The sequence below is a fragment of the Homo sapiens genome, chromosome 2, assembly GCF_000001405.40.
Source record: "Homo sapiens chromosome 2, GRCh38.p14 Primary Assembly".
NCBI classification, from domain to species: Eukaryota; Metazoa; Chordata; class Mammalia; order Primates; family Hominidae; genus Homo; species Homo sapiens.
In genome coordinates, this window is record NC_000002.12 from 79,651,129 (window position 1) to 79,666,345 (window position 15,217).

General features: G+C 34.1%; 1 protein-coding gene across 11 annotated transcripts in view; it reads left to right on the forward strand.

Moving 5' to 3' along the window:
- The window catches only part of CTNNA2 (catenin alpha 2), a 1,463,404-nt gene that overhangs the window by 465,752 nt on the left and 982,435 nt on the right, over nucleotides 1-15,217 (forward strand). For all 11 annotated transcript variants that reach the window (NM_001399737.1, XM_024452714.2, XM_011532556.3 and 8 more), the window contains one exon: nucleotides 424-530. In NM_001399737.1, coding sequence (NP_001386666.1) covers nucleotides 429-530 — 102 coding nt within the window. In that variant the 5' untranslated portion in view covers nucleotides 424-428. The remainder of the gene's footprint in view (nucleotides 1-423; nucleotides 531-15,217) is intronic.

Sequence of the window (15,217 nt, forward strand, 5' to 3'; positions counted from 1 at the left end):
ACTCTCTGTGTTTCTTAATCACAACATGTGTCACACTGAGACCTAATTGTTCCCATATTTGGCTATCTCTAACTTTAAACATTAAGCTACTTGAAAGCAAGACTGAAACCTTTCGCAGCATATAGCAGATAGGTATGCATACTCATTGTTGAGTAAATGAAATATTTCAGTGGCTATTGGGTCCCAAAAGCAGGCCTAAGGTACACCAGTATGCTGAGGAGGCCTCAGTTTTTAATCTGATTCCAACATTGCCACCTCACAGTGTACTGGTCTGGTTTTTCCATCTCTAATTTGACCAGGTTGGACCAGAGAGGCTATCTTCCAGTATGTTCTAAGTTTCAGTGATTTACCCATTTTGAATCACCAAAGTTACAATTTATTTCAAAGATGATTATTTCTAACTGATTACATGTGTTCCCATAGGGAGCATGACTTCGGCAACTTCACCTATCATTCTGAAATGGGACCCCAAAAGTTTGGAAATCCGGACGCTAACAGTGGAAAGGCTGTTGGAGCCACTTGTTACACAGGTAAGGGATGCTTTGAAACCACTTTGTTATATATGTGTTTCTATTGTGATTATATCCTGACTCTTGGAAAAACTTAGACATCCTTAAAAGAGAATAAATCATGCCATGATTCCGATTACTGAATATATATTACTGCCTGAACTATGGGCAATCTCATTGCCCTATAACATTTGAAGTGGCTTTTAAAAACTATTTGTATGATTTTTGAAATTAAGTTGATGAGATAATTGAAGAGGGGTCCTTGGTGAAGGGGGCCCTCATTTACGGTAATGGGTTCAAAGTCTAAATAAACTATTCCTCCTGCACTTTCAGATGCTAATGCACCATTAGGAAAAACTGTGTTGACTATACAACAGCAATGTATATTTATTGAATTACTTTTCTTTCAGTTTACAAAGCAGAATTCATCCTGTTGGAGTGATGAGATGTTCCATTTTTGTGTTGTCACAGTTGTCACATTTCCACAAGATAACGGTCAACAGAAAAATATCATCAGGATTTTTAAGTGTTATAAGTTATTTTTTAGTGTCTTGTTAAGCATGCTCTTTGCTATTTTAACTCTGAGATTCCTGGGATGTGATTTTTTTTTTTTTTTTACCAAATTATAATAGAGGCATTTGTATTGTCCTGTGGCTGCTATAACAAATTCCTATCTACTTAGTGGCTTGAAGCAGCACAAATTTATTATTCTAGAGGTCAAATATCCTAGTCAAGGTATTGGTTGGCTTGCATTCCTTCTGGAAGCTCTAGAAGAAAATCCATTTTCTTGCTTTTCCCATCTTCTAGAAACCACATCACTTCTTTGACCCCTTTCTCTATATTCAAATCCAGCAATGTAGCATCTTCAAATTTCTCTTGCACTCTGACCTTTGCTTTTGTCCTTGCATCCCATCTCTGAAATTGTCTTTCCTACTTCCTTCCAATAAGGACCCTTGTGATTATGTTCGGTCCACCCAAATACTCCAGAAAAATCCTCCCATCTCAAGATCCTTAACCCAATCACATCCAAAAAGGCTTCTATTGCCATTTAAGGTAACATATTTACAGTTTCCAGGGATTTGGATGGAGTTGCTTTGAGGACCATTATTCAGTCTGCCATAGTTTGCCCTCTGGCTCCCCAAAGATTCAGATCCTTCCTTTATGCAAAACACATTACACCACATTCTCAGGTCTCCAAAAGTCTCAACCAATCATAGCATCAACTCAAGTTCAAAATATCATCTAAATTTCATCAGCTTAAAAGTCCCAAATCTCATTGTCCAAATTATTTAAATTAGATATGGCTGAGGATCTCTTTATAATCTGTCCTTGAGCAGAGTTCCTCTCCATCTGTGTAGCTGTGAAACTACAAAACAAATTATATGTTCCCAAAATGCAATGGAGGGACAGGCATAGGATAACAGTTACAGACATTCCTACATAAAAAGGGATAAAGTGGAAGGAAAAAGGAGTTGCCAGTCTCAAGAAATGTAGAAATCTACATGGGAAAATTCCATTAGATTTCAAGGCCTGTGAATAATCCTCTGTGGCTTGAGTCTGCTCTCTGGGCCTAGTTCAGAATTATTTCTTCATTTTCATGAAGGGTTGCACATATTTTCAACCAGGTATTCTTGTCATCCATCTCCTACCTGTAGAATTTTGAGTGTCCATTCAGCCTTCGTGCATTTCATCCCTTTTCTGCCTGTATCAGTCCAAGCTGATGGTGTTACCACCGTTGTAGGATTCTCAAGAACATTGTGATTTTACTATGCACATCTCCAGGATTCACTCCATTAGAAAAACAGGCTCCTCTACAGATCTTTCTTGGATAATTTCATCTCCATTTTTGGCCTCTGTTGAAGTGGCTGAGGGGATCCATGAATTACATGCCTAATCACTTCAAAGAGCCCTCCTTTCACTTGGACCTTTTAATCCTTATATGGCACTAGGAAAATGTTATCCAGACATAAAATTGGCTTTCTCTTCAAGTATGCTTTCTTGAAAGCACGTCTCCTAATTTTAGCCTTTTGAAGTCTTCATACGTTGAGAATTTTCCCAATCATCAAGTCCTGGTTTCTTTTGGCTTAATAGTTATTCCCTTTATTCATCTTTTTCCTCTCACATTTCACTATAAACAGCAAGAAGAAACCAGGCCACTCTTTCAACACTTTGCTTAGAAATCTCCTCAGCTAAATATGTAAGTTCATCACTTGTAATTCTGACTTCCACGTAATTGTAGGAATCCGTCCAGCTGAGCTTTCTGCCACTATGAAACAAAGATTCTCTTTTCTCCGGTTTCCAATAACATGTTTCTCATTTCCTTCTGAGGCCTCACCAGCATCTCCTTTAATGTCCACATTTCTACCAACGTCTATTTATGGCAACTTAGATACTCCCCAAGAAGTTAATGGTTTTCTCTACCATGCTCCTCACTTCCTTCTGAGTCTGCACCAGCAGAGCCTTTAACCAAATCTTTATTTTTAATAACAGTCTGTTCAAGGAGATCTATAATTTTTGTATTATGCTTCTCAAAATTCTTCCAGCCTTTTCTCATTACCAATTCCAAAGCCACTGTCTACATTTTTAGGTATTTGTTACTAGCAGCGCCCCACTTCCAAGTACCAAAATCTGTGTTAGTTTCCAATTGCTGCTATAACAAGTTTTCACAAATGTATTAGCTTAATATAAAACACATTTATTGTATAGTCCTGGGGGTGAAAAGTTCTAAGACCAGTGTGGCTCTAGGGAGGCATCTAGTTCCTTGCCTGTTTCAGTGTCTGCAGTCCACCTGCATCCCTTGTTTGTGTCACCTTCTTCCATTTTAGAGCCAGTAGCACAATGCTCCAGATCCCTCCGATTTCAGCTTAAACTGTTATATTTCCTTCGATGAATCTTAACTCTACTCCTTCTCTCTTATGAAGAAGATCCTTGTGATTACAATGGGCTCACTCATATATTCCAGGATAATCTCTCCATCTTGACATCCTTAACCTAAGCACATCTGCAAATTCCCTTCTGCCATTTAAGGTAGCACATTCGCAAATTCCAGGGATTAGAATGTGGACATCTTTGTATGTAATTGGAGAACATTTTATGAGATTCATGCATATTTTTCATTCAGTCATGACTCTTGTTAGTTCTATAAAAATTTCTGCAAGAAGCACCTAATACTGATATGCTTACCTAATACTGATAGGAAGTATGTTGGCCACCTACTCAGATTGTACCCTGTGGCCTAGGGTTGATTCATGAATTTTTTATGGTCTGCAGTAAGAACAAAATTGAGGATAAACACTTGAAATTTTTATAGGAATTTGACAGTAATTTTTTGTCTGCTGAACCTAAATATAAAATATGGACTTATAATTGTATATGTTTAATTTTTAAAATTATTCATGATGTTGTGTTTTATAAAATATTGGTCTGTGAGATATTGGAATAATAAAAATGTAGCCTTTCATCACAGATAGCTTGAGAAAGACTGGCTTAGGAGATATGTTGGAGTCAGAACAATCTGGTCTAAAAGGTACTTCTGCCAGATCAGTTAAAAAGTGAGTGACCTTTTCCTAGCCTTGGAGTTTACACTTAAGAGTACCTATAAGTATATTTAATCCTTATCATACAGATTAAATGAAAGAAAATATTAGAATACAGTACCTGGTATAAAACAAACATTGAGTAAATGTAGCTTCTGTTTTTCCTGTTTGATGGCTATATATTCAGGCTCATGCTAGTCATAAACCAATACTGTGTAATTTATGAGAAGGATGTAAGTGAATTAGGCATGGGCTAGCACAATATTACACTTATAGAGCCTTATGTGTTAAAATTTATGTACTTATATTTTACCCTTGAATTTAGCTTATCTAAATCATAGCACATCTAAGATTATAATTAAAAATTCTTTTTGGCTGGGCGTGGTGGCTCATGCCTGTAATCCCAGCACTTTGGGAGGCCAAGGCAAGAAGATCACTTGAAGTCAGGAGTTCGAGATTAGCCTGGCGAACATGGCAAAACCCCATCTCTACTAAAAATACAAAACTTAGACAGGCATGGTGGTACATGCCTGTAAACCCAGCTACTCAGGAGGCTGAGGCAGGAGAATCACTTGAACACAGGAGGCAGAGGTTACAGTGAGCCAAGATCATGCCACTGCACTCTAACCTGGGCGACAGAGCGAGACTCCATCTCAAAAAAAAAAAAAAAATGTCTTTTTCATATACCTTTTAGTCCAGTTATCTAAAGTCCTTCTGTTGCAGACAAAAGCAATGCATTAAAATATTTTCTCAAATTAAGGACAGTGAAGTGGCTAATTCATATTTGTTCACATAATACAGTAGAATGCTTAAAACTTTTCTTGAATTTCATACAGAGATTTGGCACTGTAAGTAGTCTTAACATCCTTCCAGTCCCCTATCTATATGCCTTATATTTCCTCCTAGTATTCCATACTGATTTAAAAAAATTAAATATGTGAATTTTAAGATGGGATTTTCCTTATGATATTACTTCCCTACAATACATGACTGTGTTATCAATACTAACTAATTCTTCCCTTGGAATTAAACCTTCATGATAGGACTGATGTGACTGTTGACCCTTAAAAGACTTATGAATAAGGAAGAAGAGATAAGGGAATATTAGCTATAAACTTCTTACTCAACATTTAAAGCAAACTGGAACTGTGAGAGGGAACCAAACCAAGGCCCCAGTTGTATCAAACACATACACACAACTTTATGAATTGAACAAAATTCATAGCAATATGCAATGATACAGTTTGCTCATAGCTATCCCACAGTTTCTAATAAGGATGGATAAGGGATGAAATGAAAAACAGAAGTTATGGGGTTCTGAGTAGAATTCTTTCACTGTCATGAGAAAAATGACATTAGGAATTTACTGTTGATTAATATTTAAAATATCCCACAAAACCTTACCTTATATCAATAATGATATATATGAGGCCTATACATTTATTGTATAATGTTGAAATGGCAAGATTCCTTTTGGAGAAATTGTACATTATTAAAATGATGAAACTGCTAATGAGAAGAGATATTCATCTTAGGAAGTTTAGTCCTTGAAAGTGTCTGAACTTTTTATAAATTCAAAAAAGGAAGGAGTTTCAATAGGTCACATTCTGTATTAAGAAGCCTTATTAGAAAACTAACACAATTTATTAGGCAACTTTATTACAAAACTAAAAAAAAATTATTAGGAAATTAAGAAACACTCTTAGATAACTCTTAGAACCAAAGGGAAATTACAACTATATATGAGTTAATGAAAAAGAAGATCCCTTCCTAACAAAATAGGCACATCCAGTAAAAGCTATCATCAGTATAGAATTTTAGCTTTAGATAGCTTTGAAGAAAGAAAAGATATAAAAAATAAACTATGAATCTTAAGGAATTAAAAAAAATCAAAAGAAACTAGGAAAACAGAATTTAATAACAAGGAAAACTGGAATCACTAGAATAGAATGCAAATGTAAAAATGGCTAAATAAACTCAAAATTTGGTGATTCTTTGAAATGGCCAACATAAACCCCTTGAGGCACAAATTATGGAAAATATATAAAGAAAGAATATATAAAATTGTAAATGAGAAAGCAGAAGTAAATCCCGAAACAAGAAAGGTTAAAAGAAGTATAGTAGAATATTAGGTGTGGCTCTGCAGTGATGAAGCATGAACATCTAAAGGAAGGGAATCAGTTCCTAGAAAAAAATAAATTACTAAAATATTTTCAAGAGAAAGTAGAAAACTGTAGTATTCCATTTAAATACTAGAGCTGTTTAAAGATCAGTTATCAAAAAAGCACCAGAACAGATGGATGTTTAGTTGAATATTACCAGACGCTTGTAGCGCTGATATTCCAGTGTTCTTTAAATGATTCCAACCATAGAAAAATATAGAGAACATTAATCATTTTTTAGAGAATCATAATTTTAACATTAAAAGTTTAAGTCACATTCTAAAACTTTTTAAAGAAAAAGACAGTGATGATTCTATGTCATTTGAAAATTTAAATGCAAAAAAGAAACCTACCTAAGCTATTAGTAAATAGCACCCAGCAGTATATGAAAAGATCAGCATAAGTGTGAAAAAAAATAGGATTTTTAAAGAATATAATGGTGGCCTATATTTAGAAAACAAATAAAAATACTTTAGTATATCAATAGATTATATCATTAGATACTAAAAAGATATTTAATAGAATTTTGCAGTTATTTCTAATAAAAATTCTAAGACTAGGATCAATCTTTTAAAATAATGTACCACGTAAATTTTGGAAAAGGACTAATAAAGCCCTCTTTGGGATATAATTTTTATATCATTACAAGTAATATGAAAATGAGGTTAGGTTGCTAGATATAAGATAAATATACAAAAAATAATTTTGTATCTATTCAAAGGGAAAGAATTCAAAACAAAGATATTTCTTTATAATTGAAAAATTATAAGGTCAATTATTTTTTTCTGTATGAAGTGCATATTGATGTTTTAATTTCATTTGCAGTTTTGTAATTTATTATATCATTGGAGCAGAGATTGTGGATGCATAGGCTTTAGAGTCAGAGAGGCTCAATTGTAAATCCTGTATTCATGGTGATAGCTTCAGTAGTTTACTTAACCGCTCCTTAAATGTAAAATATAGATAATAATAATTTCTACATCATAACAGTATTGAAAGGACAAGTGAGATGGTTTAAAGGGACTAGAAATGCCTAATGGTATGCTTACAGTAATACAGGCTTGCTTTCAGTACCATTTTCTTTACCATTTAATGGTAATGGCTTTCGCTTAATAAAACATAGGTGTCATATCTAATACAGGGATTCATTTGGATACTTTTTAGAAAAAATATTTTAATGGAGATTTATAAAAACATGGATTTGCTTATTGCATTAACAAAAGATAATTAAAACGGAAACCTGTGAAGTTATTGAGAGTTCAACCTTTACCTTTTCAGGAAGCTAATGAAGCACTGGCCATCAAAATGAGTTGGCCATCAGAATAGAATTTGCTGAAATTTTGTTCTTTTTTTTTAATAGAAGATGAACCTGAAACTTAATAAATAACACTAAACATCTGATAAAAGAATATCATTGATGTTTAATGAGCTGTTCTAAAGTAGCCAAATAGGGAAGGAACCTCCTAAGAAGAGGAGCTCTCTTTAATCATTTCCAGTATTATTTTGAGCAATGTTCGTGGGGCCCTGTGAAATTAGGCTCTGGTGAATTTTATAGTTGAACCATTTTAAATTTTACTCCAAAATTTAATAATTATCTCAAGCTAATTAGCACTTTATATATTTTAAAAACATTTTAAAAGTTAAAATTTCAATTTTATATTTTTAAAAAGTAATCAATTTTCTCCCTCTTTATATTTAATTTATTATAACAGGAGTAAATTTTCTGTGAGTCACAACAATAGTTCATTACTTTGGTGCAATTAAAATCAGGGAAACAGGAGGTTCAGATTTAAAATTAGAAGATTTAGAGCTGAAAGTGATTCCAGAAATAAATGAACACTTAGAAGCAAAGTAACTTCTGAGAGTTGATCCAGTGCCTCTTTTTTTTTTTTTTTTTGCTACACCATACACTTTCTTATAGAATTTACAAAATATAGCATTTTATGCAAGAATTTACTGAAATAATCAAAATATAAAGTGAGGCATCATTATAGTCATTTTTCCATCTATCCAGAGAATATCATTATTGAGAGTCACCTTAATTCATGGTTTATTCATGATATTGATAAATGAATACATTTGGGTGGTTTCTATGGTGGCACTACAGTGTTACCATAAGTTGTGCATGCATTTTTGTCAAAGAATTGAAATTGCATGAAAGGTAAAGGATGTGCTAAAAGTGAATGATGTGAACTCCATTAAGACTGTTTGATGTTTGATCTAATTCATGTATAGTGTGATTAACCCATTTCCAAGTATATTTTCCCATTTTTATTTATTTACCTTTGTTTTCATACTAGGTTCCATTTTCATTTTTGAATGATATTTTTCTTGCCTTGAAAAGTATTTCAGATTATGTGTCTTTAAAGAAAGTTTTGGGGCCAGGAGCAGTGGCTCATGCCTGTAATCCCAACATTTTGGGAGGCCAAGGCAAGAGCATCACTTGAGGCCAGGAGTTCGAGACCAACCTGGGAAAAACAGAGAGACCAGTCTCTACTAAAAGTTTTTAAATAAAAGTTATCCAGGTGTGGTGGCACATGCCAGCTGCTCTGGAGGCTGAGACAAGAGAATTGCTTCAGCCCAGGAGTTCCAGGTTATAGTAAGCTATGATGGTGCCAGTGCACTCCAGCCTGAGCAACAGCATGAGATCCCATCTCTAAAAAGAATAATAATAAAACTTGGGGGTGAATGAAGTACCTTAAGTATCATAAGTTTATTGAAAACTGCTAAATCTCTGCATCTTTCCTTGTCAAATAAATACATATGTATATATACATACATATTACATACAAATAGCATGTGCAATATACACACACAAGTAGTATGTATGTATGCAAATAGCATGTTTACAAATACAAATACTATGTATATATAGTATATATTTGTATATATGTATGTATACTATATATGTGTATATACATATGTATGTATATACACATATGTATGTGTATCCATATGTATATACATATGTATGTGTATATACATATGTATGTGTATGTATACTATACATATGTGTATGTATACTAAATACATACACATATATAGTATACACATACATATGTGAACAGAATTTGAATATAAGTAACTAAGTTGTGATTTATAAATTTACCTGTATTACATATATTAATATTTAATTGAAAGACTATAAAATATTTTTATTGTTTTATAAATATGGTTTTGTATTTTAATATAAACATTTCTTAAGTTGCTATGTTTTTACAGTAGGTATGTATACCCAAAGTAGTTAATATATTGGAAACACTTCTTTGAATTGAGGTCCTCTGGTAGTTTGTTCAGTAGTTAGTGTGTTTCCACTTCTGAAATAGGAGTTTAATTAACCAGTGTGTAGTCTGGAATTAGATTAATTTCTGTTTTGGGATTATGCTCAATATTTTAATGTCTGCCACCAGATGGGAGTGATACTCTTTCTGTTATATGGCCAGCTGTGTTGGCCATGTTTTGAAACTTGAGTAATGTACAGAACCCTTTTAAAATAAGGAAAAAAGGGAAAAAAGCCCCAAATTCCAAAGTGGGCTTAAACTAGTATAAACATGGAATTATGTAATGCATGTATGTTTATCCATAAAGAAATTTATAAAATAAGTACAAAAAATACAAAAACAAAGCAATTAAAATCAACATCAACTTGATGGATGATACTGTTTTGCTGAAATTAAATCACTGTGTATGATGTAAATGTTGGTGGTGACTGCTCTAGCTCCCTGTCTTTTGTGTTTGGTGAACACACACCACCCTGTGCCATGTGATAAGTCACTTCTTTCCTCACCTTCAGAACCACCTACTGCAAATCACAGCTATTTAGTGCACCATGGTATCATTGCACTCTGTTTAGCATAAATATTTTCACAGTTAACATGTGACATCTGCCCTTTTTCCCTTCTTATTAGCCTAGGGAGATGAAAGTTAAGTAGCAAAACTTGTGATAGTTTTAGAATACAAGCTAACTATATTAACATTGATAAAACTACCTATTCTTCCATCAAAATATTTACTTTAAATAATTTCTAGTATAAACACAGTGATTATTTTATGAATGCTAATAAGAGAAATGCCATTTAGTAGAAGATAAAAGAGGAGTCTATGAAATGACTGTGTTTAATGTACTACTCAATTGATTAAATCTTATTTTTAATTTAAAAAGACATTCTTGGGGTTTCCCCCACAAGATACTAAGGCCCAGTTCACCAATCCTGGTTTCTCTTATTCCTCTTACAAGTTATAGGTTGGGGCTCACCCATAGGGGTGATCTAAGATGCTGGACTAGATTTTCAAAACTACTTTGATTAGAATCTTTGCTTTGCACACTCATTACTGCTGTGGTCTTAGGAGGAGCTCCTCTCAATGAGTATGCAACTGACCACAGATAATCCTTGAAGAGAAAAAGGGGAAAGGTGCTAATGTTTCTTGAGTAGGTACTAAATGCCTGGTGCTGACCTAGGCATTTCCATTACTTCTTGTGTCAACTTGGTAAGGTCAGTATAGTTTTATTTTCTTACAGATTAAAAAAAAGATAGATCACATAATTAAAGGTCTAAGGTGAGTTAGACTGAGTAGATCTGAAGCTCCTAAGGAAAATGTGGACTGAAAATACTGAAATGGTAAGTTGGGAGTACATTAACCATGGAGAATGTGAAGGGTAAAAGGGAAGAGAGTAAGGAAATAAATAGGTGAGAAGGGAAGAGCTACCAACATTAAACAGACAAAGGAAAGGAAACAAGCAGAAGATGGAACAGATGTTTAGAGTAAGGATTTAGTACCTTTTCTTGTTTGTATCGCCTAATCTTTGTCCAAATCTGCTGTTTGCTGACATGCACACAATTCCTAAACAAATCCCTTGACATTCAAATGAATATATTAAACTAAAACCCATTTTTTCCTATTAAATGGTTAATGCATATGAATATGCACTCTTCCTTTTATTCTGTTTTGCGATAAAATCAAACCTTAAAAGTATTTTCCATTTCAGTGAATACTTAGCAAATACTGTCAATGGGAAAAAAATGGAATTTAAAACTACATTTAAAATGCAAGTAATGTCAGAGAAAAATAATGATATCTTTATGTGCTTGAAATGGGACAATTAGTGAAATCTTATGCATGCTAATTCAAAAATTTCAAGGGAAAGATTGGGGGCGGTTAGCTAACAAAATTGCTTTTAACTATTTTGGACAATGTAGAAATATTATCTGAACTGGAGACCAAAAAATCCATTACACCAAGCAGGAAAATGCCTACGAAGTGACAGAATTGAATTTACGCAGGAAGCTCTCAACTAGCAAACTAATTAAAGCTTGTCAGAGATCTGAGATAAAGGATTGGGGCATGTCAACACACTGGCTTATATGTTTCTTGTCATCCGATTGAAAGTAGGAAAGGTAAGCCCTATTTTCACATAACTAAAGAGGGAAGGCCAGCACAAGCAATAAAAAAACTAACCAGTGATTTTTCTTTCATTCTGAAAACAAAACTCTAAGTCTTTCTTGTAACATGGATATCTTGACTTTGGTGTCACCATCTCATGGGATTTATTTCCTCCCCCATTAGCTCTGCCTTCTCTTTGCTTTACTGTTTCCTGGCCTAGCCTTTAAATGTTCACGCTGTTCAGGCCTCCGACTTGGTTGGTACTCCTCCTTTCTTTCTTCTGCATTTTCTCCCCAGGTGATTCTACCCATCCCTATGGCTTTTATTATCATCGATATGCTGACAGCACTCAAATTTGTATCTTCAGCCCACAGTTTTTCACAGAGCCCTAGTCACACACCCAAGAGTTCTCCTTAGCTCTTCTTTGCTCAGATCTGCCACTTTCCAACTCTGCTGCTAAAGTCCTGGTTCCAAACACAAGTCCTCTCTCATCATGATCAGTACAGTCACCAAATTATCCACCAATCCCATTCTTACTCACTACCTATACATTCTCTATTCGGCAACCAGAGTGATCATTGAAAACAATGCATAATTTGATCATGTCATTCTCTTAAGAATCTGCAAATGATTTTCATTGCATTTGAGGATGAAATTAACACTCCTAACCATGTCCTGATTTGTACCTTGCTGTAATCACCTAATGCTGGTGGCCCTTCAATCACAATGCTCAAGGCTCAGAGCCCTTCTTTCAGTTTCTTGGACATACTGAGTTCTCTCTGGCCTCAGGATTTTTGTGCATGCTGCTCTCTCTGCATGGGCGGATGCTGCCCTTCTACTGCTGTGACTGGCTCCCTTACATCTTTCGGCTACCATGTATCATTCTCCCGACCTCACAGAGACCTTTTCTGACCACTCTTTTTTTTTAAAGTACATGCCTCCTGCCCCACCTTTTATATGTTCTCTGTGTTTCTTTCAGAACACTTGTTACTATTTGTAATTGTATTAATGTGTATTTGTGTGTGTGAATTTTCTCTGACTCCTCCAATAAGCAGGAAGTCTCATGTAGATAGAAATGATGCTAGTCTAATTCATACATTTATCTCCAGTACCTTTGACACAGGAAGTGTTTGATAAATATTTGTTGAACGATTAAATAAACCATTCTCTTTCAAAAAATGCAACTTGTGTATTCTCTTTTAGTCTGCCTCGTTTTCTTCTAAAGTTAGCTAGTAGTAAAATGTAATTGTATGTTGCAGTATTTGTTTTACGAAGATGTTGACAATCAACAATTGTTTATTGTGCATTTTAAAAGATAAATATATTTATTAGCTTTTAAAAAGTGTGTATGAATGTTTTAATACTCAGCGACCTCACTAAGCAATGAAATGTGTTTTTGTATGTTGAAATGTGTAATATTTTATCTTCATAATAAAAGGCATAGTATAAATACATTTCTTATATATTGCATATGCATGTGTCCACATAGACAAAATTAATGAGTCTTTTCACATTGTCTATAAATAATCTCTATATTTTCTTTAAAAATTAGTTTTGCTTGACCTCTTGTTGAATGAAACCTTCATTTTTAATTATTACTGTTCAAAGGAATTTATGAACCTTAAATATGATGTTAGACAAAATTATCATCATTAAAGTTTCTCAACCATTATGAACTTTCTGTTATTCCAACTGGCACTGGAATACAGGGACAATATATATTCATTATCACTTTTGTGCCACTTAGTTCATTAGTTAAATAAATCTTCCCTTGACTACCTCTTGACCATGGTTTCCAGATTTAACAAATACAAATTCAAGACCCGCAGGTAAATTTGAATGTCAGATAAATAATAAGCCAATGTGTTGTATAATTACATTCTATGCAATATTTGAAACATACTTATACTAAAATAAATTGTTATTGTAGTTTCATCTCTGAAACCATATATTGCTAATTTGTAAATTCTGGAGAATTCACATTCTTCTTTTTTTTTTTTTTTTTTTTTTTTTTGAGACGGAGTCTCGCTGTCTCCCCGGTTGGAGTGCAGTGGCGCGATCTCGGCTCACTGCAAACTCCGCCTCCCAGGTTCATGCCATTCTCCTGCCTCAGCCTCCCAAGTAGCTGGGACTACAGGCGCCCGCCAACACGCCCGGCTAATTTTTTGTATTTTTAGTAGAAACGGGGTTTCACCATGTTAGCCAAGATGGTCTCGATCTCCTGACCTCGTGATCCGCCCGTCTCGGCCTCCCAAAGTGCTAGGATTACAGGCGTGAGCCACCGTTCCCGGCCCACATTCTTCTTTAAGATTTTTCCTCATTTGTCTTTCTTTTTGTTTCCTTTCTTGTCACTCCTACCTTGATTTCCACTCTCAATCCAGAAAGAAGTTCTTTCAATCTCTAAAACCCTGGGTCTCTCATTTCACAAGTGTATGAAAATTTTCTCCTATTTCATTTCCTTTGTATTGGCCAGCACCCATGCATCCTTTTGTTCTTATGTTAGATGCTGCCTTCTGATTTTTTGACACCCACACAACTGGGCGTGGTCTCTGCTCTGCTCTCAGACCTTGTGCACCTTCCCTGTTATCTCACAGTGTTTTGATTCCTGATTTGAAATGTGCATGTATGTGCATGTTTTAGTATGCATGCATACTTGTATGTGTTACATTTATTACCCATAAGACCATAAATTTTCTGAATATTTCTGCCTCGGAATGGCATATAATAGTGATTTAGTAAATTTCTGTTGAATGACTAGAAGAATGATTTCTTTGCTGACACATGAAAGTGCCCTCCTCTGAGAAATGGGACTGTCTCTTGTTTCCCAGTCTCTCTGTCTTCACTAAGGCAAGACACCAAGTTAAGTAGAGCTAAGATACAGTTCTGGAGCAATAGAAAATTATACTATCTTTTAAAAATATTTTTAAACATTAATGGGCTTAGCAGAATGTCATTTTAACTGTTCAGTCTTTTTATTAGTAATTTTGTGCTTTATAATTTTAAGAGTATTGATTATCTTGAATAATGTTGCCATATTATTATCTGGGCTTAGAAAAAGGAAAGAGTAGGAAACACACTTTATTTTTTATTTTTAGAATCTCCTGGAACATGTTAGTTAAATTTAAAAATGTAAAGAAGTATCAACTACTTGAATATGATGTTATTACCAAATGTAGCTGTTATTGTAAATGTACTATGGAGCCCTGTGGTAATGGCTGAAATGGTAATTTCATTCTAAACTGTAGTTTTCAATGGCTTATTTAACACGAACTCCCAGTTTACACTGTTGACTGAAACTTCTCAAGCTTGTTTTTATCCCCGAGGGGAATTTTATAGAGATGACACAAAAATCTCTTTTGCAGACTTTTTCAAGCACAGTAAAAATGATTTTCCTTTAACTATTAAAAATTTCAGGATATTTTAGTGACTTTTGCATTTTTTAAAAATGGTTTCCAAACTTTTTTCTTCATATGGGCTTCTTTCCCAGAAAAAAACAGGCTCTGTAATTTAATAAAGTTTCAAAAATGTAAAATCATTAAACATTATAGAAAATCAATGTTTTAATTGTAGAAAATGATTTCTTAGTGTGGCTCCTATCAGACCACTTTGGTAGATTAATATTAAAGTT